At 37.6% G+C, this 26,105-nt stretch overlaps 2 gene segments (V, D, J or C) and 1 further gene, besides 8 other annotated features; all 3 read right to left on the bottom strand.

Annotated features, from left to right (window-relative positions):
- Positions 1 to 26,105, bottom strand: part of TRA (T cell receptor alpha locus) — a 930,229-nt gene that overhangs the window by 677,212 nt on the left and 226,912 nt on the right.
- Positions 5,517 to 5,525: a recombination feature (nonamer).
- Positions 5,526 to 5,548: a recombination feature (spacer).
- Positions 5,556 to 6,059, bottom strand: TRAV13-1 (T cell receptor alpha variable 13-1). The segment is given in 2 exon segments: positions 5,556 to 5,843; positions 6,011 to 6,059. Coding segments are annotated over 2 exon segments (337 nt in total), but the record flags the coding sequence as incomplete, so codon positions are not given.
- Positions 5,836 to 5,843: a sequence feature (TRAV13-1 leader sequence).
- Positions 6,011 to 6,059: a sequence feature (TRAV13-1 leader sequence).
- Positions 21,876 to 21,884: a recombination feature (nonamer).
- Positions 21,885 to 21,907: a recombination feature (spacer).
- Positions 21,915 to 22,363, bottom strand: TRAV8-3 (T cell receptor alpha variable 8-3). The segment is given in 2 exon segments: positions 21,915 to 22,209; positions 22,318 to 22,363. Coding segments are annotated over 2 exon segments (341 nt in total), but the record flags the coding sequence as incomplete, so codon positions are not given.
- Positions 22,199 to 22,209: a sequence feature (TRAV8-3 leader sequence).
- Positions 22,318 to 22,363: a sequence feature (TRAV8-3 leader sequence).

The following is a 26,105-nucleotide window of genomic DNA, read 5'->3' as shown; positions in this document are numbered from 1 at the left end:
ATGAATAAGGAAAATCATCTCCCCACTCCTGGGCTACTTGTGCCAGAAAGGACTATAACTTCCAGCACTGGTGTCATAATTGCAGTCCAGAGTCACAGCCTCCTTCTCATGCACCAATACTGATGGTTTAATTTGAGTTACTTCTCAGCAAAACCAGATTCTGAAGGAGAAAACAAAGAACCAAAAGGTTTAGGGATGAGTGATGTGGAACAAAGAAATTCTATTTTTACACCCTGTTACTTCTTCTGTCCCAAAGTTTTGATGAGACATTTCCCAGTCCTTGGGTCTTAGAGGAAGACCATTCCCACCAGGGGCATCCCTACCTAGCCACATTGAAGCTGTGACCACCCTCAGGCAGCTGGAGAGCAACATGTTTGGTTCTTTCTCTAGAGAGAATATATTTTGTTCTTCTTAAAATTCAGGGCTCTGCATTGTGAGGTGAGTCTGATGAAGTAAGAGAAGAATTACTGGACTATGTGCTGCTGCTGCTGCTGCTGCCCTGGAATAGGAAACGGAGGTTTTCCGGTGTAGCAAGCTAGTTTGTGTTATCTAACACTTCTCTATGTACTGGCTAAGAACCTCACCCAATGCAAACTTCCTTTGCACTTACCCACCCTTAATTTGATAATAAATAACTTAAATATGAAAATAAACATGGTCAGGTTAGAAGGGAAATTGATAATTCGGCCAATTGCTATGTTCAGTCATTGCATCTGTGATGGAACTGAGCAATGAGGTTGAGAGGTTGGCACTTACTTTAAAATACTACATGTAATGAATAATGAAGGCAACGGAAGATGTAACAATTATGTATCCTCACATCTATGTATGTTGTTGTTTCTCCTAAGGTAGAAATTAATCACATTATGCTAAGAAGGAAAAGCTGTTTGCACTAATCACTGCAGATCATCGGACCTACATGTTAATATAGCAATATTTGTCCTATTCCCAAAGTCTGTCCAGTTGCTTATCTGGGGAACAAACGGTAGAAAAAAACTAATCTCTCTTTCTCTTTTCTACGCAGAAAAAAACTAATCTCTTTTTTCTGAGAGTTTAGAATGAAGCCCTCAGACATTGAGTCCTATCTTAAAAGTTTTCTTCTTTTTTCAAGTTAGTTTAGACAGCCCAGCTCTGTTTATACAGGCCATATTAGACACCAGACTCTGATCATTAAGTTATCAAACCTTTGAATTTATGCATTTTTATTATGTCATCTGGGACCCCAAATGAGCCATAACAAGCCATTACATTCTGTACATCCACTGCTGAAAGGTATGAATCCTAGGTGTCTCCATACGTCTCCCAAGGAAAAACTATTATAGGAAAATTGATTGTGATAAGGCTTTCGTTTTGTGAATATTAGCAGTAAGGCCATGTCCTAGGGATATTACTCAATTACATTAAAAACAACAAAGACCCATTGCCTATTATAGCCTATTTCTTAATATAATGATTACAACCTATCCTCCTTGTCTTAAAATGATTTCAGCTATGTCTAAATTTGTTGAAGCATCTCCAGATCTTTCACTGAAATCACCATTAAATCTTATGATGCCACATACAGCACAAATGATCTACTCTGTAAAAACAACCATTTTTTTACCAGTTGGTGGACTAACTATACAATATTATTAATTTCTCCTCATAGCGTCTAACTCCATTACACTTCTCAATCAATGAATCTTATGATTGCATTTCTGTAACTCAAGAAGTGTCCATCCCAGAACAGATATTTTGGACAGTCTCATACCTAATTCTGAATTAATTTTGTTTTTAATGTCTTATCTTCAAAACTGAAAAGAAATAACACAAGGTTTATAATGCATTTACTGCTCCAGACTCCATTATAAAATCTAATTCCTTAGAAGAAGCAAAACAAATTAAAGTAACTGAATTTGTGGCTCTCTCTTTGCTATGTCCAATTATGAAAAATATATACAGTGATAGCCTATATGTTTTAACATAGTTCACAACTCTCAAATACTATGGAGATGATGAGATTTCTTAACCTTCTTAACCTTTTCATACATCTCATGTATCGCTATAAAATAGACACCAAATACGAAAATTATTTGAATTATTGATACTACTCAAAGAAAGACAAAGTTCCAAAGTAGGAAAGACACTATAGAAGCCAGGAAGAAATACATGAGCAGAGAATCATGCTAAACATGCCTTTCTGACTAACGTCCTCATGCAAGTACCTCTTACAGAACATGCAGAAAAATCTATGGAAAATTTTAGTAACTACATCTTGGATCAATTATTGATTTGTTTGATCAGTGAGGATAAGATATATCAAGGCCAGAAAGGCTGCCTGGTGGGACCAAATGATCTCCAGTGAATACTTGTTTTAGCAACCTTCCAGAGACAGCCCATCACAGTAGGGATGTACTGGCTGCAATATTATACAAATAGTTGGGGAAAACTTTTCTAGGAGAACACAGAAAGTGGCAAGTTCATGCCTTTTTTGAAACCTATAAGATTCCATGAAAAGTGTAAAAATGGAATATGAACTGGAATACTGTCCTAAGGAAACAGTTGAATATGTGACACTTCAAATTATCTATATATAGGGGAACACAATTTTCCGGGAAGTTATATAATGCTTTGCCCTCACTCAGAACTTCTCTTTTCTTATCACCTCCTTATCCTCTATAAATGAAGACACAACACATGAGAAATATTAAAACTAAAATTAATTACGGTATCAGACATCCTTGAATTTCCATGATCTAATATATTATTACCCTTCACTTTCATGGCCCTGAGTTGTTCACTCTGCCATCATAGGTTGTCTTACTATCAACTGGTGACTTGTAGGTCCATATTACTCCTAGTATCTGGAATCCTATATAGTTCATTCTTTCACAAACTTATCTAGATAAATAAACCCATTATACTCAGTCCTTATACCAACAGGTACAGTTTTCTTTCCTGGCCTTTCATTTAATCAGCCTTTACATGACCTAAGCCTGGATGAGTTGGTATTTGGAAAAAAATTCCAGAGAAAGACTGCCTTTCAACCTTGTGAAAATGACCTTATTAGGTACTGTTTATTACCAGTTCAACAGTTAAAGTACGAGGAATTGATCTGTGGTTACTTTGTACCAATTAGTTTGACATTATCCATCCTTAAATGGCAAGAATTGAGAAGTTATTCATATTACAGATATTAAACTGAATTTCTTCAGAGACTATTTAGGGGCTTTTCAGAAAATGAGTGCAGACTCGAGGTCCTTGAAACACATGTATAAGTGGATAAAGTAGACAGCTCCATGCAAGTATAATCGAACAGTATTATCTAGATGACTGGAACCAGTGGTTGTTATACTATCTTTGCATTCTTTTCTTTTTCATCCATTTGGTGGTATTTTTCAACTCTAATGGTACAACGTTGCATATATTTGTAATTTTTTTCCACTTTGTTATTTTGTTAATAAAACAATTTGCTTAGGTACAGGCTTTACTTGAGGTAATAACCATCCTAACACTTTTCACCTCTACAAAGCCACAGCTAGTGCAAAAAATTTAAATAATTGTGAGATATGTCATTCTATGCTAACTCCTGGGAAAATCCAAGTATTAACCATACCCAATTAATATGACTAAAATACATTTCGGTCAATACACTTAGCCTTAAAATGTTAGAGAAATATCTATTGATAAAAATTTAGGGTAGTGTTGGTACAACTAAACTTGATGTGTTTAACTCTGATTCTAGGAGTTGGTTCAATCCTCAACTGAACCTCTCCATTATCAATTGCCATACCGTTTCCTTAAACACTATACTTGCCATAGTGTTTCTTTAAACTGTAAATCAAACCTCCAAAGAAATTCAAACATTTGAAATGTTGAGTTATTCCTGTAAAATGACAAAAGTTTAAAACATTCAGGTATAGAAAAAAAAGAGTGGTAGCAGAGATGATGATCATGTATGTGCCCAATGGTGTGTGCTTTCTGTAACCAAGATTCAGACTTTTCAAAAGATTATATATTGTATAATTCCACCCATGTGACCTCCAGAAAAAAATAAAAATATAAAAGAACAGACCAAGGTTTGCAAGGAGTTTGAGATGGAGGTGTGATTTCACACAGATCACACAAGGGAGTTTTTGGGATGAGCAATCTGTTTCGTATCATAGTTATGTAATGGTTACATCAAACTATGCAATATATCAAAATTCAAATTTCACACATTGAACTGCATATCAAAATGTGTTCCTTTTTAAGTGATAATTTAAAAACTGAAAATTGTAAAAACTGAGAAAATAAAATAAAGCAATTGATGTGGTTTCTATTTTTCTATCTGGAACTCTGATTTTCTTTCTCAACTTCTGAAAAAGATAGCACCAGGCATGCCAACTGTGGTAGGCAAAATAAGGGCTCCAAAAAAGTTAGGCCCCAGTCCCTGGAATCCATGAAAGTTATCTTATATAGCCAAGGGAAAAAAGACACTGCAGATATGATTAAGTTAAGGATCTTGGGATGAGAAGTTATCCTATGTTATATGGGCCTTAAATATAATCACGTGTGTGCTTATAATAGGGAGGCAGAGGGAGATGACAGAAGAAGAGAAGCAGTGCAACCATAGAGGCAGAGATCAGAGTGATGGAGCCACAAGCCAAGAAATGCAGGCAGCCCTCAGAGCCGGAAGAGACAAGGAACAGCTGACCTTTCTTGTCCAGCTGTTTTAACCCTAATTTAATCTAACTACTTTCCCTATAAGAACAAGCCATAACAGCCAAAACTCAGCCAGGAGGAATTGTTCTCCCATTCCAACTGCTGATTAGATCCATCCTTAGGAAGAATACAAGAGATCTTGAAATTAGCCTACTCTTGACCACAGGTGGGAGAAATAGGGAATTAATTATTTATGCACCTTCTTTATTTCCACTGATTTATCTACAACACTAAAAGATATAACTCTTTTAAAAGAAATTGTGGTAGTAATGTTTAATTCAGTCAAAACATGAAAATGAGGCAGGGAGATTTTTAGCAAGCTGTCTGTAAATTAACCATTGGTCCAAAGTCCTGTTGTAATCTACTAATAGAATGTGTAAGATAGGGCCGGTTGCGGTGGCTCGCGCCTGTAATCCCAGCATTTTGGGAGGCCGAGGCGGGTGGATCACTTGAGGTCAGGAGTTTGAGACCAGCCTGGCTAACATAGTGAAATCCCGTCTCTACTAAAAATACAAAAATTAGGCTGGGCGCAGTGGCTTAGGCCTGTAATCCCAGCACTTTCGGGGGCCGAGGCGGGAGGATCACGAGGTCAGGAGATCAAGACCATCCTAGCCAACATGGTGAAACCCCATCTCTACTAAAAATAGAAAAAATTAGCTGAGCATGTGAAACCCAGTCTCTACTAAAAATACAAAAACATTGAACCTAACCTTTTTATTATATGCTTTAAATGTCAATATGTTAGTTTCAACTTGCAAACAAACAATATGACAAATGCTATAATTGACGATCTATGACAAAGGAAAGGGGGTGCAGCTTCAGCTCCAGTCTCAGGTTTGTGTACGGGTAGCAGGTGCCTGGGAAGCAATGTGTACTTGCTGCACAGAAGTAGACAGCCGAGTCTTCAGGTTGGGTCTCTGTGATGTGCAGGGAGAAATGTTTGGCTGTCTTGTTCAATGTAACAGCAATTCGTTGGTCTTTCTTTTCGCCCACATTTGAACGAATGTCTATAATAAGCTGAGGTCCTTTTCCAAGTTCTTGCTTATACCAAGGGAAGTAGTTTGAGGCACTGTCTGAATAAGTACACTTGATAACAGCGCTGTCTCCCTCCTGGACACTCAGGGTTGAAGGATGCTGCTCCACATTCTCTCCATTCACCACTATGCAGAAAGAAAAAATCAGAGAAAGAAGAGGGATTGTTAGGTCATTACTCTCTAGAATTATTTTTCATAGTAACGAGAGGAAACCTGAATAAAGCAAGTCTCCTCTTTGAACTGCTGAAGAATATTCACTAATATACTCTGTTACCCAAATACCCTCAACTCACAGTCCAGCTGCAGCCACAGGAATATAAATACAGCTCGAATGGATGTCATCCTTGTTCTTCCCAATTAAGATCAGTCATTGACCTGCAACCTCCAGTTATAAGAGTTACTTCTATCATCAGGTTGTCTCTTCTCTCCTCTGGCAGCCATAGGGGTTTCTCACACTGTGTAGCCAACCAATAAGAAAAAGGCTCTGCTGCTACCATAAACCTATTCATTCAGGACACACTAAAGTGAACCCTGTATTCTGCCTCAGCAGAGGAGCACTGCCATCTTGTGGCCACATCCCTAACTACTGAACTTGCTGGTTGAATGTTTTTCTCTAACCCTATGAGGCACTCAGGTGCACAAAAGCAGCAATGAGTCAAACAGACTGGGTGTTCAATCAGAGATTAAATGCACAGTAAGAATGTAGAGATCTAACTCTATAATTATGCACACTACTGAGTCATTATTCATAAATTATAAAGAAGTAGATGCTGTTGATATTTATTCAATGATGGGCTGAGTTTATGTTTGAAATTAAGAAAATACCATAATTCGCTCTCATAAACAAGAAAAAATAATGCCTTCCTTTTAGGTTAAGTCTACTATCATGACTCGTTTGTTATGAAGAAAACTCTTTCTTTAGGCAATATGTAAGCCAAAGATCAGAGCAAGAGAGAGAGGACCACTCAATATTTCGAGTGCGTATTATCTCAGGTTCTGCTTCTCAAGCCTGGGCCATGACCTTGCTATTCCCAGAGAATTGACGGTACCGACAATCAAAATGTTGAATATTTCTTCAGTAAAGATGGCTTTAATAAAAGGTAAAGAATTAAAGTACAATGATAAAGGAGGAGGGGGACAAGTTCCATGAGTTATTAATACTCCAACAATAGGAATAGTTTGACCCATAGACTGGGCTGGTTTGCAAGGAGAAATCTGGCATGTTTTAAGAAGTCTTTTCCTATGGCTATGTGGCTTGCTTTCTGCAAAGTGTTGAAAAAACAAGAAGAAATTCTCAGAAAACATCAGGCTGCAGATTCAAAAAATGTAAGCATATGTAACTTTATTATTGAGATAATTTTATTTTTTGATATCAAAGTGGATGATATCAATATGATATGTGCTTAAACACAGTGACTGACTCATATCTTTAGTGGAATTTCCTCTAAAGTATGAGTCAACTCTTCTGTCATGAACTGCTGTTGTCTCAGCCATTGCTGGCACAGATTCCATATCTATCATTTTTCTCCCAAACTCCACCATAATGTTTTTCTCCAAGATATTGAGAAAGTCCTTCAGTCCTGTATGTTTCCAGGTTTATCTGTTTCTGCCAAAAAAAAAAAAAACTTTCTAATCTACTTTAACTTTTGAAATTTTAAAATTACTTCTGTAAGAATAAATTAATGGAAGGCTAAATATTTCCTGTGCCTGTTAGCAGAATAGTACAAATAGAAAACTGACAGTAAAATACTGATCATGAGAAATGGTACCTGGGAAACCAAGACTTTCTCATTTCCAGGAGGAAAGCCCCTTTCCTGTGATTTGTACTCACTAGTCTGCTGGAGTTATAGAGACTAAATCTAATTATTTATTCACATCTCACACCCTTAAATATTTACAGACAGCTATGATTAAGAATCTCAACTCAATACATAAATATATGTATATATATAATGTGTGCTTTTACATATATGAAATTTCTCCATTCTAAGGATCTTCAGTTATCTCACCCATTCCTCATACAATTATCAAATCCTTCATTGAGCAAATTACTTTCTTCTTGGAGACAGATACATAGGTTAATATTTGTCCTTTTGAGTTACGACATCCAGAACTGAATGTAATGGTCTGAATATGACCACTCACATGGAGCACAGCGTTCCGTATATTAACTGTACCTTGAATATAGCCGTGCCCTGGACAAAATTCCCAGCCTGGTGATTATTTCGTTTTTTGCCAGACTCATTATCAAAGGGTTGGCCCGGAAAAGCTTTTCCAGCACTTTCATGAACTGCCAGCTACACAGGGGCAATGTTCCCCTTAGCTTCCCAATTTCAGTGATCATTTTTAAACAATGTAGAGTGATGCTCCTTATGTTCACATCCTTCTTTCAAGGAATATCCACCCACCATAAGGTACACATCTTGCTATTTTTAGGAAAATTCTCAGAAATACATCCAGGGGTTGAGGATGGCACCATCACTTTTGGCTCACTCCTACAGAAGCCAGTGAGTCATGGACTGATTTGCTGGTAGAATAACAATGGCTCAGCCTCATGAGTATCTCTGTGGCCCAAAGTGGCAAATGTTTACTTACACAAGTTGGAACTCTCCATTCTCATGGTCAAACTGATTGGACCAAGTCTTTCCCAGACCCAAACTGCAGAGGTCAAAGTGGCTGGATTTTCCTCAGTTTCTCTTTGCTCAGCAATGTGGTCCTGCAGGAATGAGGCAGAGGAAACAATACGAAGGAGGAAGGGAGGAAATCCAGTTTCTTTCTACTCCCGGCTCATCTAATGGTTCCATACTGGCATCTTGGATATGGTTTCTCTCTTTGTAAAGTGAAATTGGACTAAAAGATTTCTAAGTGCTTTTCTAGCTGTAAAATTATTTTATTCTATTTAACAGAGCAAATATTTATTAAGGACTAGTTGTGTACAGTGTAAAGTATGGGAATGCAAGGAGAAATTGTCTTGCATCATGGAACCCCAAAACCATTTTCACATCAATATGCAATCTAGTGGGTCTGAGGTTACCCTAACCAATCCTTGGGCCCCTTCAGAAGAAAAGACAAGGTCCTCCAGATGAGTTCCTATGTGAGTTTTCATTCCTCCTACAACATTAGTGATAGATGGTAGATCAACGGAAGCCTAAATCCATAGTAAAATGAAATCAAATGAGACTTTACTCGCTAAGTATAAAGGCCATCACAAGCAGTGATATGAGGGTGGACACCATGGCTGGGCTATAGGGAGGCAGGATTCTCCCTTCTGGATATCGATTTCTTATCTTTATAGCGTATCATGTCTGTCTTAAAGGAAACACACACACACACACACACACCTCAGCAACTTGGAGAACATGGAAGAAGTATAGGAGTTTACTAATATGTAAAGCAAAAGGCACTTTCTCAAACATCCTGATTGCTTTCAGACTTCAAAATCTCTCCTTCAAAATTTAGTTTGGGGATTCAAGATTCCCAGCTGGGCTGGCTGTACAATTTGTGGGACTCAGTGCAAAACGAAAATTTAGGATTTCTTATTCAAAAGGCAGGAAAAATAGCCATTAGGTAATAAACTGTAAAGTTTTTTTCTTAAAATATTTTATTACTTATAAAATGCAATAGGGTTTATAATGATACATAAGAAAAAACATAAAATTGGTTTAAAAATTTGGTGTCATAAATTAATATAATAATACTTTAATATGATATCTTGATTAATAAAATTTTATGGATCACTTTGCTGCAAATTAATTTATGAGGTTAGCAAAATTCATGCCTGGAGCAACTTCATTTTCAAGCATATAAATGAAAGCAATATCAAGTGCTCTTATTAAATGCAAAATCTTAACTAGAATTTTTCATTTCTAACTGCGAGAAGGATATTTCTGCTGATGCAACTGATACTGGAGCTCTTAAAAGTATTTTATATACTGTGACAACATTAGCATACTTATCTGATGGATTAACTGAAATATAAATTTTAGTAAATCAGTGGTTGATGGTCCCTGTGAAACAATTTTTCTAAAACAATTTATTTCTTACCACAAATCAGTTTTATGTACGTCTGAACTCAGTTTTCAATGTAAATTTACACAGTGCTGTTTTAATGTTTCCTCTGAAATTTTTAGTAACTTGTGGAAGCTGTATAAGAAACTAGAAATGGCTTAATGATATAGATATAATTCAAAATCCTTGTTTATTAATTTTATCACTGTATCTTCAATTATTAAAAAATTAATTTCAGGCCAGGCACGGTGGGTCACGCCTGTAATCCCAGCACTTTGGGAGGCTGAAGCAGGCGGATCACGGGTCAGGAGTTCGAGACCAGCCTGGCCAACTTGGTGAAACCCCATCTCTACTAAAATTAGCCAGGCATGGTGGCAGGGGCCTGTAATCCCAGCTACTCAGGAGGCTGAGGCAGGAGAATCACTTGAACCCAGGAGGCGGAGGTTGCAGTCAGCTGAGATCGCACCACTGCACTCCAGCCTGGGCGACAGAGTGAGACTCCGTCTCAAAAAAAAAAAAAAAGTTAATTAATTTCAATATTATCCTCTATGTTAAAACGTGGCTGTTCAAAACTTCACATGAAAATAATGCTCTTCAGATACTTCTCAAAAAAAAAAAAAAAGCATACAAGTGGAAACATGAAAAAAAATGCTCATCACTAATCATCATAGAAATGCAAACCAAAACCACAATGTTTGGCTTTTGTTAAAAAGCCAAAAAAAATAGCAGATGTTGATGAAGCTGTGGAGAAAAGGCAACACTTATACACTGTTGCTGGGAATGTAAATCAGTTCAGCAACTATAGAGAGCAGTTTGGAGATTTCTCAAAGAACTGAGAGTTCAACTACCATTCCACCCAGCAATCCCACTACTGGCTACATACCCAAAGGATAATGAACCATCCTACCAAAAGACATGTGTGCCCATATGTTCATCACAGCACTATTCACAATAGCAAAGACATGGAATCAACCCAGGTGCCCATCAGCAGTGGATTTGATAAGGAAAACACGGTACATATACAACATGGACTACTATGCAGCCATGGATGTGGCTGGAAACCATTAGGATAACTTAGGATAACTAAGTGAACTAGCACTGAAACATAAAGCCAAATATGACATGCCCTCACTTATAAGTAGGGGCTAAACATTAGGCACACAAGGTCATAGAAATGAGAACAGTAGACCCTGGAGAATACAAGAGAGGGGACAGAGGGAGGGGGTTAAAGATTGAAAAAAATCACCTTTTCAGTACTATGCTCCCTACCTGGGTAATGGATTCATTATAACTCCAAACTCTAGCATCACATAATATACTATTGTAACAAACCTGCAAATGAACCCCCAATTCTAAAATAAAAGTTGAAAAAAAAGATGTTAAGGAAAAAAACAAAAGAAGATAGCATTAAAAGGTGAGAAAATGATGCTCTTTTCCATTAAGCTGCTATCCTTACATGTAATTTCTATTTCTAAACCAGCAGATATCCAAATTGTAATGTTATATCAACTTTCAAAACCACAGTCTCTAAACTTTTTGAAGGATTCTAATAACTCTCCAATATACCTTATTGCCTTGTCCATGTATATGCTTTTATTGTGTAATAATTTACTGAAAAGTTTACTGCCACTCACTTTGGAGAGCCGCAAAACACCAGAGAGCCCTGTGTGCTCATGCACTCAAAATAGCCCATCCAACTGCTCGGCTCACATGCTGCCCACTGTGCCCATGAACCTGAGCCTGCATATGATTCTGTCCTGTGTCCTGCTGTCCTGTGTATCTCCTCTGCTCACCTACATGCTCTGTCCTCTCATTGAACTTCATTTACTCACACAAGTTTAAAAACAAAACTATTAAAAATGTCAAGGCAGTGATAGCAGAGCATTAACTAGGGTCCTGTGGGCTGCAACAGATCACATACCCAGGAAGCTGGCCCTGCTCCCAGCTTCACCGGAGACTGCCAGCTTGTCTTCATCTTGGTTCTCAGGGCCCCAGTCCTTCCTAGTCCATTCTCTTACATTCATATAACAGACCTTGTAAGGCTGAAATTCTACATGTGTTGTAACTGATCCACATTTAGGTTTAAACTTTGGCTTTGCTTCTCAGAAGTCTTGGACTGCGGCTACAGCAGGTAAGTTTTGGGGGGCAACCCTAGAAGTTTCTGTTCTCTTTTCGAGACCTTGAATGATGTTACAAAATCATGAGTAATGCAAGGAAGACAAATGGATTTTAATGTAACAAAATGAAAAGTTTAATGAACTCTTTCTTACTAGATGCAATTTAGAAATTATCCCAACGGATATATTTGCCAGTGATGTATGTGAGCACATTGCACAAATTTATCAATTGAAATAATTGGTATTTTGTGATTCTCAAGGGTCTTCTATTGTGTGTAGCTTAGAGTACACACTCTGCTTTCAAACATCGAGAAGGAGAATCCCAGCCCAGCTTCATTGCTAGTTTCATAACCATCTGAGCTCAGGCAAGACATGTGTGCCCTATAATCCTCAGTTTATTCATGTGTAGAGTAAAGAGGTATTGTCAGCACCCAGATAATATATGTAAATTCAGAGAATGTCTGACATCCAATGACGTTACGTGCTTTAAAATTTTATCTTTTATGGGTTCCAGGAGTAAAAAATTATATATAATATACATCACACATGCTCTCTTCCCTTTTACTAGAAAAGTGAACAACATGCATTTGGATGAAACATTGAGTCATCTCTTTGCTATTTCTTGACCAGGATATATTTTTTCAAATCTTTTTTATCACAGTAATTTATATGTAATTTATATGCTCTTTGCTATTTCTTGACCAGGATATATTTTTTCAAATCTTTTTTATCACAGTAATTTATATGTAATTTATATGCTCTTTGCTAGAGGATCTGTTTTAACAGTACATTGGGTCCTGATATCTTTAAAAGTTGCTCCAGTGGTTCCATATCAAAGCTTTTTCCTGCAAAGAGATTTCTGAGAGCAAAAGGGTAGGATAAAAAAGTTAAATGGCAATCCTGAAGTGTCTAATTTTAGCAGAGATAAAAGCGCAACGTCAATCAGAAAACCCGAAGCTGTGCAAGTGATACTGTGGGGGCAACATGCCTCTCTCACGGAAGGGGTTGGGGCTGCAGGCCCAGCTGCAGTTCGGATCCAGGCTGCAGATTTCCTGGGAGAACTGTGCCTCAACTGCACAGAAGTACGTGCCTGAGTCTTTCAGTTGGGCGGCTGTGATGTGTAGGGTACCACAGAGCTCCTCAGAGTTTCTTTTTGACCATAACTTTCCACTGTGCTTCATCCATGAAGCCATGAAAAACAGATTGATGAGGCCAACCCAGGATTCTGTTGGAACCACTGCACGTTGTTCACAGAGGTAGAAAAACTGCATCTCAGAGTAGAGCTGGTTCTCTCCTGGAGACTCGGAACTGAAGGACTCTGCTCCACCTTCACTCGTCTCACCCCTGCTTGGAAAGAGAAAAGCAAATATGTATTATGTCACTAAGGAATCACTGATGCAGTTTCCAAGCCTGTAAAATATCCCTAGAAACACTTATGAGGCTGTAGGACAGTCCAGGAGATTTGTGTCAGCTCTCCCTTCCCTCCCTTCCCCTGTCAGCCCCCATCTAGGACGGCCCAACTCATAGCAAACCTGGACCCACAAAAGCCCCAAGAGAGCTCCCAGTCTCCTCTCCATGGCTCCTTGCCTGGTTGCTGGGGTGCCTTTGCCGCTGCTCTGGAAGGGGTCAAGTCTTGGGTCCAGACAAACTTGTTCTTACAGTCAATAGTTTGCACCAGACTCCCTGAGCACCAATCACACCTGAGCTCTGTCATTCATCTGAATAGGAAACTCCACCAGCAGTGGCCTTTGAGACCGCACAGTAATCTCTCCAAAACTCTGGGTGTGAATAGTGCAAGGGGGGAAGAGTCAATATTTCCAGTGTATGAAGTTACAGGGTTTTTTTTTCCTTAAAGTACTTTATATAAGAGAAATTGTAGAATAGTATGTGAAGAAAGAGGATGATACGTCTGAGAAGAATCCGTGTCTCAGCTGGGGAAAGTAGAGCCTTAAAGAATCATGGGAAGCCCAAATTACATAGCTGGACAGAAAATTGCAAAATTCAATTATATGAAAATTTTAATAAGGAAAACTTTCTGGTAGCATGTATGGTGGATTTAGAAATAAATACAATTTCTTGAAATCAGGAGATTGTCTGCATAGAAAATGTTTCCAACTAGAGTTTGTTTGGTTAAAAGAAAAATAGGATGTGTGTATGATATCCACCCTGATTTAATTTCTACCTCTCCCACTCTGTCCAACCCTTTCCCTACACACCCTGCAGGCCCACACAGCTGTTACGATCAGACCACATACTGCTGGCCAAATTAAATATTCTCCTCTCTATTCTCTTTCTGGTTTTGGTCCTTATTTCCTTCCTATTTTCTTCTTTTCTGCTTATTCTTGTTCCTTTTGGTCTCAGAGAAGATATATGAAGAAATCAGATATCAGGGGTATTTTGGAATAATTTCCATGCCAGTGAATTTCAGGAATTTTAGTCATAAAAATTTAAAAACTGAAAATATGTAATAGAGATGTTTTCTATTGAGTGTCCATCCTCCCAATTCCCAGTAAAACTCCAATTCCCTTACCTCTGCTTATAGAATCATCCTCACAATGGATTCGTAGACCTATGAACTCCAGCTTTCTGAGGTTCTATATAGAATGTCAGAGCTGAAAACCGAAGATGAACTTTACACACACACTGCCCCCCATTCCACTGCAATTCCTTGTTATCTGTGACTTGACTGACTCACATGCCCCCTTGTCTTCTCTTTTAATTGTTCCACCCTTTGGGACCATCAGAAAAAGTCTTCATTTCTGGAAATCCTAGAGTGCCCCCTAGTGGACTGAACCCATCAACAAAAACCACTACGGACCAACTAATTCCTCAGTAGTCACACACACAGCCCCATTTACTGTTTCCTATGAAGGAAATGGAGGTGGTCAGAAAACAATACAACTGCCTAGATTGGATGGGGATTAAGAATGAACCAATTACCACTTTAAAATGTCATTTCGTGGAAATCAGTATCTTAATTTGGCAATTCTCTTTTTGTACTCTTCACTTAATTCCTTTAATTTAGTTCAAAGTAAGTCCAAAAACATGTATTAAAGTTTTACTCTAAGTGAATAATTTATTAGGTTTTAAGAATACTTAAAAGCAGATGTAATATTAGTTTTATGGTCTACTGGAGTGGACAAAAATACATATCTATAATATAAATCACATAGTAGGAACCTAAGAGGAGTGTAAACTAGAAGCTGTATGATCCCAGAGGCAGAAAAAAAATACGTAGGAAGGCTGAACAAAAGCTAATGAAGAAGGTGATCGTTTTCTCCTCTCTCCCTTTTTCTATGAGTAGACAAGGAAAAAATGTAGATAAACCTTTGTGATGGCTTTTATGACTTTTTTTGGTTTAATACTAGAAAGAATTCACAAATATATGAAATAATTTAAAGTAATACAGCATTCCAGATAGACTAAAATCTCCTTCGACCACTACTCCCAGTTCTAGTCCGTTCATCCCTTATTACCTTTATTGTTTCATCTAATCAATTTGGAGTTGATGCTCTATCTACATCCATATACAAAATATATGAAACAGCTGAAATATACGGCATTTCATTTATAGGTTTAAAACGTAATAAAAATGATACATCTTGTGCATACCTTTTTGTAACTCACTTTATAAACTCAATAATAAATCTTTAGGTCTTATTGTATTAATTCATATGGGGCCTTCTGCTATACTGCATCATATTAGGGATATACTTCAGTTTATACAGCCTTTCTCCTATTGATCAACACTTAAAATGTTGTTTTTTAACCATAAAATGTAAAATGGCAATAAAGCTTTTAAAGAATTCCTCTTTTTATTCACATGTGCTCATGTTTCTTCAGGAGCAGAGACTAGGAACTAGTGAAAGAACCATCAGTGTGGCTAGTAGTGAAAAGCACTCCGGGCAGAGGGAAGATCGGGCAAAGGCTCTGAGGAAGAAGGGAATGAATTCATGTTCCCATTATTGTGTTGAATGGTTTTCTTTTTTATTACTTTTGTTAGTGTGCATTGGAGCTCTAGTTTATTGGCTAATTTGATAAACTCTAAAATTACTGTCTTCATATATATAGTATGTGTATAGTTTCTTCCAATTAGCTACAGAAGTAATTCTAAAGACAGTAAGTCAAAAGGAGAAAAAAATATACCCAAGGAGAAAGAGGGGGACATACAAGGAAAAAATGTTACGGAATAACTTCAGGAAAAAATAATAACAACTTTGGGTATTTAAAAATTATATATATGTATACATATATAATATAAGGATACTTTTAGGAACAAAAAATACAATTTACACTTTCTAAAACAATAGAAAGAAAAAAGAAAACTATCACTGCAACAGAAGACAGACTAAAACACGAAAGAACAAATCAAGAGCATGCTGAGCAGAGCCAAAACGTTAAAATGAATCCAAATGTATCAGTAATCGAAACATATTTTTAAAAAGACTATGATTCAATCAAAATTAAAAATCTTGCCACATACTGCTTGAAAAAACAGACAACAAGCCCCAAGAAAGCTGAGCATATAGGATGGGATTCTTCCTGCTGCCTCTGTATTCAAGGACTATAGCACCCCTCCCTCATCTACTTAACCCACTGCACCTGCCATAAACAACTTCCAAAAGAATTTCAATCCTTTTCGCTTCTTTTAAATGTCACTTCTGCTGATTAGGTAGTAAAAGAGTAGTGCAAGATAAGAATAGCAAGTTAGTCTGCTAAAATAGCTCTGGCAAAGTTGAGATCAGAGACAAGAGAGAGGAAAAAAAAGACAAGGTAAAAAACTCAACATTCATACAGAAAAGAGTAGAGAAAGAAAGGAAAACTATCTGAGATGGAAAACCAAAAAGAAATTAAGATTTAGCTGCAGAAAAGGACAAACCTAACATGAGAAAATTCCATATCCTAATGTAGCAGAGAGAAAGAAGGCAAGTCTAAATAATAGCTTTTACATTTTTATCATTGTACTCTCTACTTCCTTTACAATTTGAAATATTTAGGAAGTATCTGCATCTGTTATTGCACATTTCTAATTGCTCTAGAATCACAAAAGAAAGCAGGGAAAATTCATCATCAAAATTATATATGATCATTGTGTGCGCCAGCAATTAGCAAAGTGTTGTGTCAAGAGAGGCTTTAATTGTCTTCTTCATTAATTTGATATTTATTTCCCTGGAGGGTTGCCACAGAATAAACCGTGTCTCATCCAAAATTTACATGTTGAAGCCCTTATCCCCAGTACATCAGAATGAAACTGTATTTGAAAACAGGATCTTTAAAGAGGTCATTAAGGTAAAATGAGGTTATATAGCTGGGCTCTAACTCAACATAATTGGTGTTCTTGTAAGAAAGGAAATCCAGATACAGACATGTGCACCATGAGAGGAGAGACCACCTGAAGGCACGGTGAGAAGGCAACCATCTGCAAGCCTCAATAACAACCTGCCCTGCCAATGCCTTAATCTTGGATTTCTATCTCCAGAATTGAGAGAAAAACAGATTCTGTTGCTTATGCCACCCCGTCTGTGGTATTTGTCATGGCAGCTCTAGAAAATTAATGTGAAGGTAAATTTTTAATATCCAGTTATATGAAATATATCACACAGAGCAACTTGAAGTCATAAATATACATATAAAGTATCTTCAGCATCTTAACATTCTACCTTTTACACTCATGTTTTGGTGCACTTGTTTCCTGAATAAAAGTGCTCCCTTGTCTTAGATATCCCCATGAGAATTCTGTACAGACCTCTAATTATCTTGACAACTTTATTATTGTGCTTAAACGATTGGAAATTTGTATTGGATGTGCTGCATATGTGATATTAAATAACAGCGAAATTTCCTTTATAAGTTACCTAACAAGCTTTAAAATATTTTCATATGTACTGTATATAGCAAAATGCCTCTAAATATTAAATGAGTTCTCTGGAATGACTGTTGAGCAAGGATTATAATTACATGACTTATAGATCTTCAGGATTTGCAGGAACACTTATCAAAATATTGTTCATTTTATATATATATATATATATATGTTACCAAGTAAGAATAAATATACTAAAGTGCTAGGTTATATAATTTACATTAAATCTTTTCAACAGAAACCACAGAATATCAAGCATGAGCTGGTTAACTTAAGTCTCAACTCTAAGGAGAGTCAATTCACTTAGTCAAGAAAGCAAACTCCAAGGCGGTCAGCTACTGTTGTTATCAACACGTAAGGCCACAACAGAGGAAACTACAGTTCAGCTACCCACAGCTTGAATGATACCTGAAGCTTTTATAAGTAGCACAGGAAATATCAGATATTGGGTTTTTATTAGAAAAATTAGTGACATGTTAAATAGCATAATGAAATTTAGGAATTGGTTTTTAAATAAAAGTATTTAAGATATGGATTTCAACTATAGAACTTCAGAGACACACCCTACCATTGCCTGAACGGCATATAAAAATCTAGGACAGCCTATACCTTGCACCAAGAATGCTACCAAATTCCAACCAGTGGTGGACTGGATGAAGAAAATGTGGTAAATGTACACCACAAAATACTACACAGCCATAAAAAGCATGAGATCATGTCCTTTGCAGCAACATGGATGAAGCTGGAGGCCATTATCCTAAGGGAATTAACACAGAAACAGAAAACCAAATACACAATGTTCTCACTTATAAGTGGGAGTTAAACATTGAGTACACAAGGACACAAAGATGAGAACAATAAGCACTGGGGATTCCAAAAGGGAGGAGATGGGGGGAGGGTAAAGTGTTGCAAAACTATCTATAGGTTACTACGTTCACTACAAGATCATTAGAAGCCCAAACCTCAACATCACGCAGTGAACCCATGTAACAAACTTGCTCATGTAACCCCTGAATCTAATTAAAAAAAAAAGAATGCTACCAAAGCTTTAATCCCTAAAAGATTCTGTAATCAGCCAATGGTGTGCACAGCCAAATGAATAAATAAATTGTGCTTTATTCATATAATAGGAAACTTCTCAACAATTACGGTAATGAACACGGATTAACCTCCAGAACATGACGAGTGAAAGAAACCAGGCAGAAGAGAGTTCCTACTGAATAATCCCATTGATTCGAAGTTTTAAAACGGTTAAAGTCTCTGTAATACTAGAAATATGAACATCTGTTGCCTCCAGAAGGTGGGTTGACTGGAAAGGCACACACAAAAACTTTCTGGGTGTTAGAAGTATTCTGTCTTCAGATTGTTTTAAAGTTATCATGGTCTTTTCCCTCCATTTTAAAGAAATCAAAAATAAGGATAATTAACAGAGTTAGATGAATGAAAAATGACTTGGAATTTAAAATCTTCAGACACAGTCTCATTAGTGAATGAAAGACAATTTGTGTTGTAAGCTAAAATACATTTAAAAGGAATTATAATTTGCCTCAATGGTATAATAAAATTTTGTGTCAAACATGCACAAAATGTGAAAAATCAAAATTAATTTCATTAATATAAAAACATATTTCCAAATTCTTCTTAATGTAATTCTTTATTGCATAAAGTTTCTTGTAATCATATAAGTAAAACAATAAATAAGTAAAATAATAAACCATAAATAAATAAAACAAATGAGCAATAAATAAAACAAGCAAGCAACTAGATTTGTCAGGTGACTGGGTGGGGAGATGCTCTTCAGTGGCTTGAGATCCTTGGTGCATGTATAAATCTGGTCCAATCAGGAAAGATAGACCATATAATAATTTGAACAGAAAATGCTTTTTATAATTATAGGAAAATTTAATATTAATATAAAAAATTATTAATTATAACAGGATTTAGAGTAACAAGGAAATAGGTAATACAAAGAAAAGAAAACTCTGCTATTCCTATTCCTGTAGGAATAGCAGATATAAGGTGCAGTCCCTACTCCTAGGGCTGGGTACAACACCCCAAGAAGGGACCCCTAGACCCACCCCCCAGGGGTGAGACCCAGATCTTATTGGGAAAGGCACAACTGTGTCTCACTAGATGACACAGAAGTCACTGTTGTGCTGTGAATTTTCTACAGAGAAATTCACCCTCTCATACTTACCAGAAAACCATAATCTAGGGTGCCGATTCATGAATCTAGGGATGAATATGGGGAAAGCTGGATACAGGAAGGTGTCTCACTGCAGGCTCTGTTCTGCAGTACCACGCAAAAATGGAAGTGCTGGAGGACACTGCTGGCCACTGTACAGCGCAGGAACCTGGTGTGGGTGCACTGCAGGAGCCGGACGCTGGAGAAGCCTCTCATGCTGCAGGAACCTGTGGCATGTGCACACAGAAAGCAAAAATCAAAATCTTTTCTCCCTGATCCTCTACTGGCAAAGCATAACGTTATGCCAACTGGCAAGGAACATAGTTGAAGGGTACAGATCCACATTCACGGAAGAGGCAAGGGGTGAATTTGGAGCTGAGAGTCAATAAATCAATCCACCCCTTGGACTATTCGACTTCTATATACAACTTTCTACATACATTTGAAACACATACAACAACAAAACAATTCTATGTTCCTACCTCCTTTAAGATTCGCATAAAGTGCCCATCACAGTCCCTGTGGGCAATGTGGCTGAGCTGATAACAGTGAGTCACCTGAAGTTAGCCATCTTATCAAAGGTAGAAGACAGTGTGCTTTAGAAATAGAAAAGAATGGAGGGACTGAGGCAGGGGACATTACACGAGTACATATCTTATTCATAATTTTACATCTATAATGTTCCATTTACCTTCCTTATACCCATCCAGCAATCATTGAAATACATCTATCCCATATAATCATCTCACTAGGTCCTAAAAACTACTGCTGATCTGCTGGTTCACCATTTGGCTAACGTGTACCATTGGCCACAATTTTCTTATTCTCTCTATATTTGAGGGTTCCTACGTACCTACCCTCTAATACATTATAGCGTGAGCCAAGTAGCAGCTGGAAAGATTCATCCTCCTTCTCCTTTTTCTCCAGACTACTTGCTACCCTCCAAGGCTTCAAGCAAACAAGAAGTATAAAAGCTTCTTCAACAGTTCTTTCCATCCTAGACAAAAGAAAGTCATAAATTTATACTGGGTCCAGTGACTCTCTACCATGCATTGTAATTCTTATCAGTGTTTCCAGCACAGTTTGGCATTGCTAAACTTATCACATGATTGATTATCAAAATGTTATAAGAATCCATCTTTAATATTCCAATAGCTGAAATCATATAACAACAGGGCGAAAGCAATGAATAGAAATGCCAGTAGCTAGAAGAAAAATGAAAGGGATTATAGCCACAAATTTCTGATACAGATTTGCAGCATTTCTGAGACTAAAAGAATAGGAAACTACTTTTCTCACGGTGAAAAAGTATTTGGAGAAACACTGATGAATTTTTAATCTTCATTTTTCTTCTGCACTATTCTTAAATAGTTGTCGGAACTAACATCACCTGACATTTTTCTAAGTCCTTCATGATTCTAATGACTCTTTTATTGTTGACTAATAACTTCTCACAGTTCTTCCTAAATAGAGTTATTTAAACTCAGACAAAATATTTAGACACATAAATACCACAGTTAGAGGCAAAAAAAGAAACTCTAAAAAAAATAACCTATGAATGACCAACTTGAAAACAAATTTGCAAGGTAAAAACATGAGAAAATCATCTTCTATTTTCCAGATTAGATGACAGATGAAATTATAAATGAAAACCAATTTTCTCTGAGGCCATGTCACAGCTCACATGGTCAACCCCCTAATGCAGACAACATCAAGGTAAGTCATGGAGGACTTGATTGTTATAAGAATACTATCTCTTCCATCATTCAAGAATACTATTTCCTATTATATAGTTTCTACAATGAGCAAAAAGCTTCTGAAACAAAATTTATCAGGACATGGAGCATAACAGGAACTGCAGAATTACATAGAAATGCCTGGGTCGGCTTAGCCCTCTTTGCCTCATTCGCCATCATAAAAAAGGAGATCTTTGAAAACACCACAGGGAGATATACTGAAACTCTGAAAACTTCTCTAGCATAGGCAGTTTGTGTTCAGCTCCCCCTGCAGACCCAGGCACTGTGGCACCCACAGCACAGAAGTACTCAGCAGCATCACTCCAATGCACAGAGGGTTTCCTCAGATTGAAGGAAGATTGACTCCTCTTAAATTCAGCCTCAAAGCCTTTAATGCCTTGAACCAGAGTGTCTCCTGAAAAGTACTTCAGGAGCAGCTGGAGGCCTTGGCCGGGGGACTGGACATACCAGAAGAGATAAGGTGTTGCCCCATAGGAATAGTTACATCTCAACTCCAGTGAGGCTCCTTCAGAGACAGTGATGTGGATGTCAGGCTGGGTCACTGACTGGGCTCTGGCAGTTCCTGGAAAAACAATGTACTATCAGTGAAAGCAGTGCAGACTCAGTATAAAAAGCAAGCATTTCTAGTCAGAACCTGTGGAACTAGAGACCATAAAGAAATTTTACTCACTCAGGACAAAATGTATCCCCAGCAGTGGGATAAGCTCCAGGAGCATGGCTGAACAAGGGAAACACTGCAGGCTCTTTTCTGCAAGATCTCCAGAGAACAGGAAGGAAAGTGTCTGAAGAGACCAAGACCAAGAGGTGTGAGGAAGTTTCGCTGGAGAAACTCCTTGCTTATTTAAAACTACAAAAGCTGCTGAGATGAATCTGGTTGCTTTTTAAACCTCTAATTCTTGTCACTTGTCTTTGTCTGGAAAGAACTCAACCAGCTGCAGGAAGAAGAAACTGAGCAGTGGATTGATCTTCAACAGAAACAAAAGCTCCAGTGTGTGCAGCATCGCCCTCTGGAGGCCAAGTGCAGAACCAGTTTAGCAGAGAGAGCTCATTAGTGTGTTTCTCCTAATTTCTGAGATGTATCAAAACATCCACACCATGTGTTTCTTCCTGCCCAAGTCTATGACGGTGTTTTAGGCCTATAGTCCATTAGCAATAAGATGTCATGTAAAAATAGAGTAATACGTTACCTCATTGAGAAATCAGGTTTTAAAAATATATCAGAATTAAGCTGTGTTTCTGAGAATCGTTGGACGCAGACTAGCTGCTTCGGGATGAGTTTTTGATGGTTCAGAGTTGCCTTGTTGGTGGTGGAGGATGATAGAGATATTTCCCTTGGAAGATGCTTGTGCGGCCATAGAGTAAAAGACGGGACCCTTAAAATGGGAGTAGTGCCTCTATATGACTAATGACAAGGTGTAACACAGGATGGAAAGGCTTTGCCCCTAGAGCTAAGGTAAACGCAACTACAGAAACCTCTAGGGCTGAAGGAAATACACCAACACCAAACAAGCAATCTCTGAAAACAAGAGAAAGGAGAAATTCGACAGGTTCTCTGTGGCCAATGAGAATCTTTTACAGAGTCAGAATACTTATTTTCTTTGATTCCAGGAGCATGTGGCCAGTTCTCTCCTTGGGTTCTTGATTCATTTGTTACTGCCTGTACAGATTGTTTTTTGTGTAGAAAGAGTATGGCTGACATTTTGTAAATACATAGACTTTGAGTGTGGACTTTAGATTCCTAATGCTATATACTCACATCCCATATCTACCAAATTTCTTCCTAACTAAAAAAATAGAAATATAAATGAGAACAAACCAAAATCCAAAAGAGTAAAAACAAAGATCATCTGGAAAGAATAGATTTATCCATGTTTCCATAAGACAAAAGTAGATGGGATCACAGTGAAGTTTAAAGTCAGGGCAGGAAAAACATAGTCAAAATAAACTATGAGGAGCAATTTCTGCTGACTTTCAGGCTGGTGATGATTTTAATGTCTCTCAAAGTTGCTGGGTGTTTGCAAATCCCAGTGTGTTCAAAGTGAAAAAGACAGGATTGTATGATGCCTTGGAATACTGCCTTTTGCTCTGCACTAAAAGAATGCAAAGGAATTTCTCAATTCTCTATTGATTTAGAGGCAACATCTCATAGTTGAAGAGGAATAGGATCAGAAATAGAATGCTCTCATCGGAGGATGTTGACAGCATTTGAAGAAATACATTGATTGTCAGGGAGATTGAATAGTCTCCAAACACACCCCAAAATACCAAAATGCATGGTCCAGGCTGGACGCAGTGGCTCACACCTGTAATCCCAGCACTTTAGGAGGCCGAGGCAGGTGCATCACCCAAGGTCAGGAGTTCCAGACCAGCCTGACCAACTTGGCAAAATCCCATCTCTACTAAAAATACAAAAATTAGCTGGGCGTGGTAGTGCATGTCTGTAATCCCAGCTAGTATAGGGAGACTGAAGCAAGAGAATTGCTTGAACCTGGGGTGCAGAGGTTACAGTGAGCCGAGATCGCACCACTACACTCCAGCCCGAGCGACAGAGCAAGACTTCATCTCAAAAAAATAAATAAATAAATAAATAAATAAATAAATCACAAAATGCATGGTCCATTTAAAATAAGTGAAAATTCAGAAATGAAAAACACAGAGAGAGCAGAAAATTGAAAATAAAATAGCTCTGCTTTAGGTACTGGAAAAGCATAGTCTTTGGATAGTCGTATCACACCTTATTATGCTCTTGGGTTCAGATATTGTTCAGAATCCAGAAGATTTTATATTTTGGGGAAAATAGTTCTTTAAGCTCATATTAAAAACAAGTGCACAGGCTCATTTTCTAGCATCAAAGAAAGACTTTCGTGAGTTTGGAGAAAAAAGATCCAAAGAATCAAGACCGTAATTAGATGATTCTTATAATCCTAATGACAAAAAAAAAAGTACATATATAAAAAATGAATAAGATTGACTGAAAGAAGTAATAAAAAATAAAAGTGGGAAAAGAAAATATCAAATAGCAATTCTTGATGCATATTATGGTAGACCATAAGTTAATGCAGGAACATAGTAAAATAGGAGACAGCTTTAAGACGCCTACAGCCCATCTCTCCTACAGGTTACAAGTGAAAACTGAACAAAACACACAAAAAAATAACTATCTGTGGCCTCTGAAATTACTCAAAGCAGACAAAATCAAACGTTGGAGAAGCAACTTGTGCAAGCCTTTTATTTCATATTTTTTCCTGTTTTTCTCTCTTGTCTTTGCCCTTAGAAAGGCCCCTGGTGTATGGTAGGGTGGCAATAACAATGGTATAGGAGACCAAAAGAGGTGCGGAAGATTGTGCAGGAGACCAAAAGATTGTGCAGAAAGAGACACAATCTTTCTGCCTCTGTGGACCAGGCTAGAAAAGACAGACCCCAAGGAAGAAATGGAAAACAGCTCAAGTCTCAGGCTAATCCCAAAGCTCCATGTACCTGGGACTGACTCAAACCAGATCAACAAAGCTTGGGTTATTCAACTGATATTTGAACCACTATTTCAGTCTCAGACTACCTCCTGAGTGGCACCAATGCAGGACAAAAAAACCAATGTAGCAGAGAGCTCAGGGCTGACCTGATATTTGAGCCACCCAAACAGGTTTCACACTAATCCCTAAGCTACACATGACTTGGATAAATCCAAACCAACATTGCAAATGATTAGAGAACTGAACTGAGATTTTGAGCTACCAAATTCCACAAAAGGGAAGAGAAAATTTACAGTATGAACCAAACTAGGTTGATTTCCTGCTAAAGCAAAAGCATCAAAATTCTTCAGAGGAATGCTTTGTAAAGAAGAATAAGGATGAGAAGGAGAAGAAGAAAACAGAGTCTACACCCTTAATATTTAAAATGTTTAATATGCATTTCAAAATTATTGGACATACAAAGGATCAGAAAAGTGGACTAATATTTAAGTAAAAGATCAACAGATGAAAGGTCAAGATGACTAAAATGCTAGAAGTAATAGAAAAAGACGTTAAAGTAGCTCTTTGATTATGTACCACAAAGTTAAAAAAGGGAAAATTTAGCCCAGGCATGGTGGCTCATGGGTAATCCCAGCACTCTGGGAGGCCGAGGCAGGCGCATCACGAGGCCAAGAGTTCAAGACCAGCCTGGCCAACGCGTTGAAACCCCATCTGTACTAAAGATACCAAAAAAAAAAAAAAAAACCCAGGGGTGGTGGCACGCAACTGTAATCCCAGGTACTCAAGAGGCTGAGACAGGAAAATGGCTTGAACCCGGGAAGCGGAGGTTGCACTGAGCCGAGATCATGCCATTGCACTCCAGCCTGGGTGACAGGGCAAGACTCCGTCTCAAAAAAAAAAAAAAAAAAAAAAAAAAAGGAGATTTTAGAACTGAGAAATACAATATCCAAAATCAAAATGTCACAGTAAGGGCTCAATAGCAAAATGA

This window comes from Homo sapiens, chromosome 14 (genome assembly GCF_000001405.40).
Source record: "Homo sapiens chromosome 14, GRCh38.p14 Primary Assembly".
In the NCBI taxonomy this organism is placed as follows: domain Eukaryota; kingdom Metazoa; phylum Chordata; class Mammalia; order Primates; family Hominidae; genus Homo; species Homo sapiens.
Note: the sequence above shows the minus strand (reverse complement) of the source record. Positions and strands in the feature narration are given on the sequence as shown.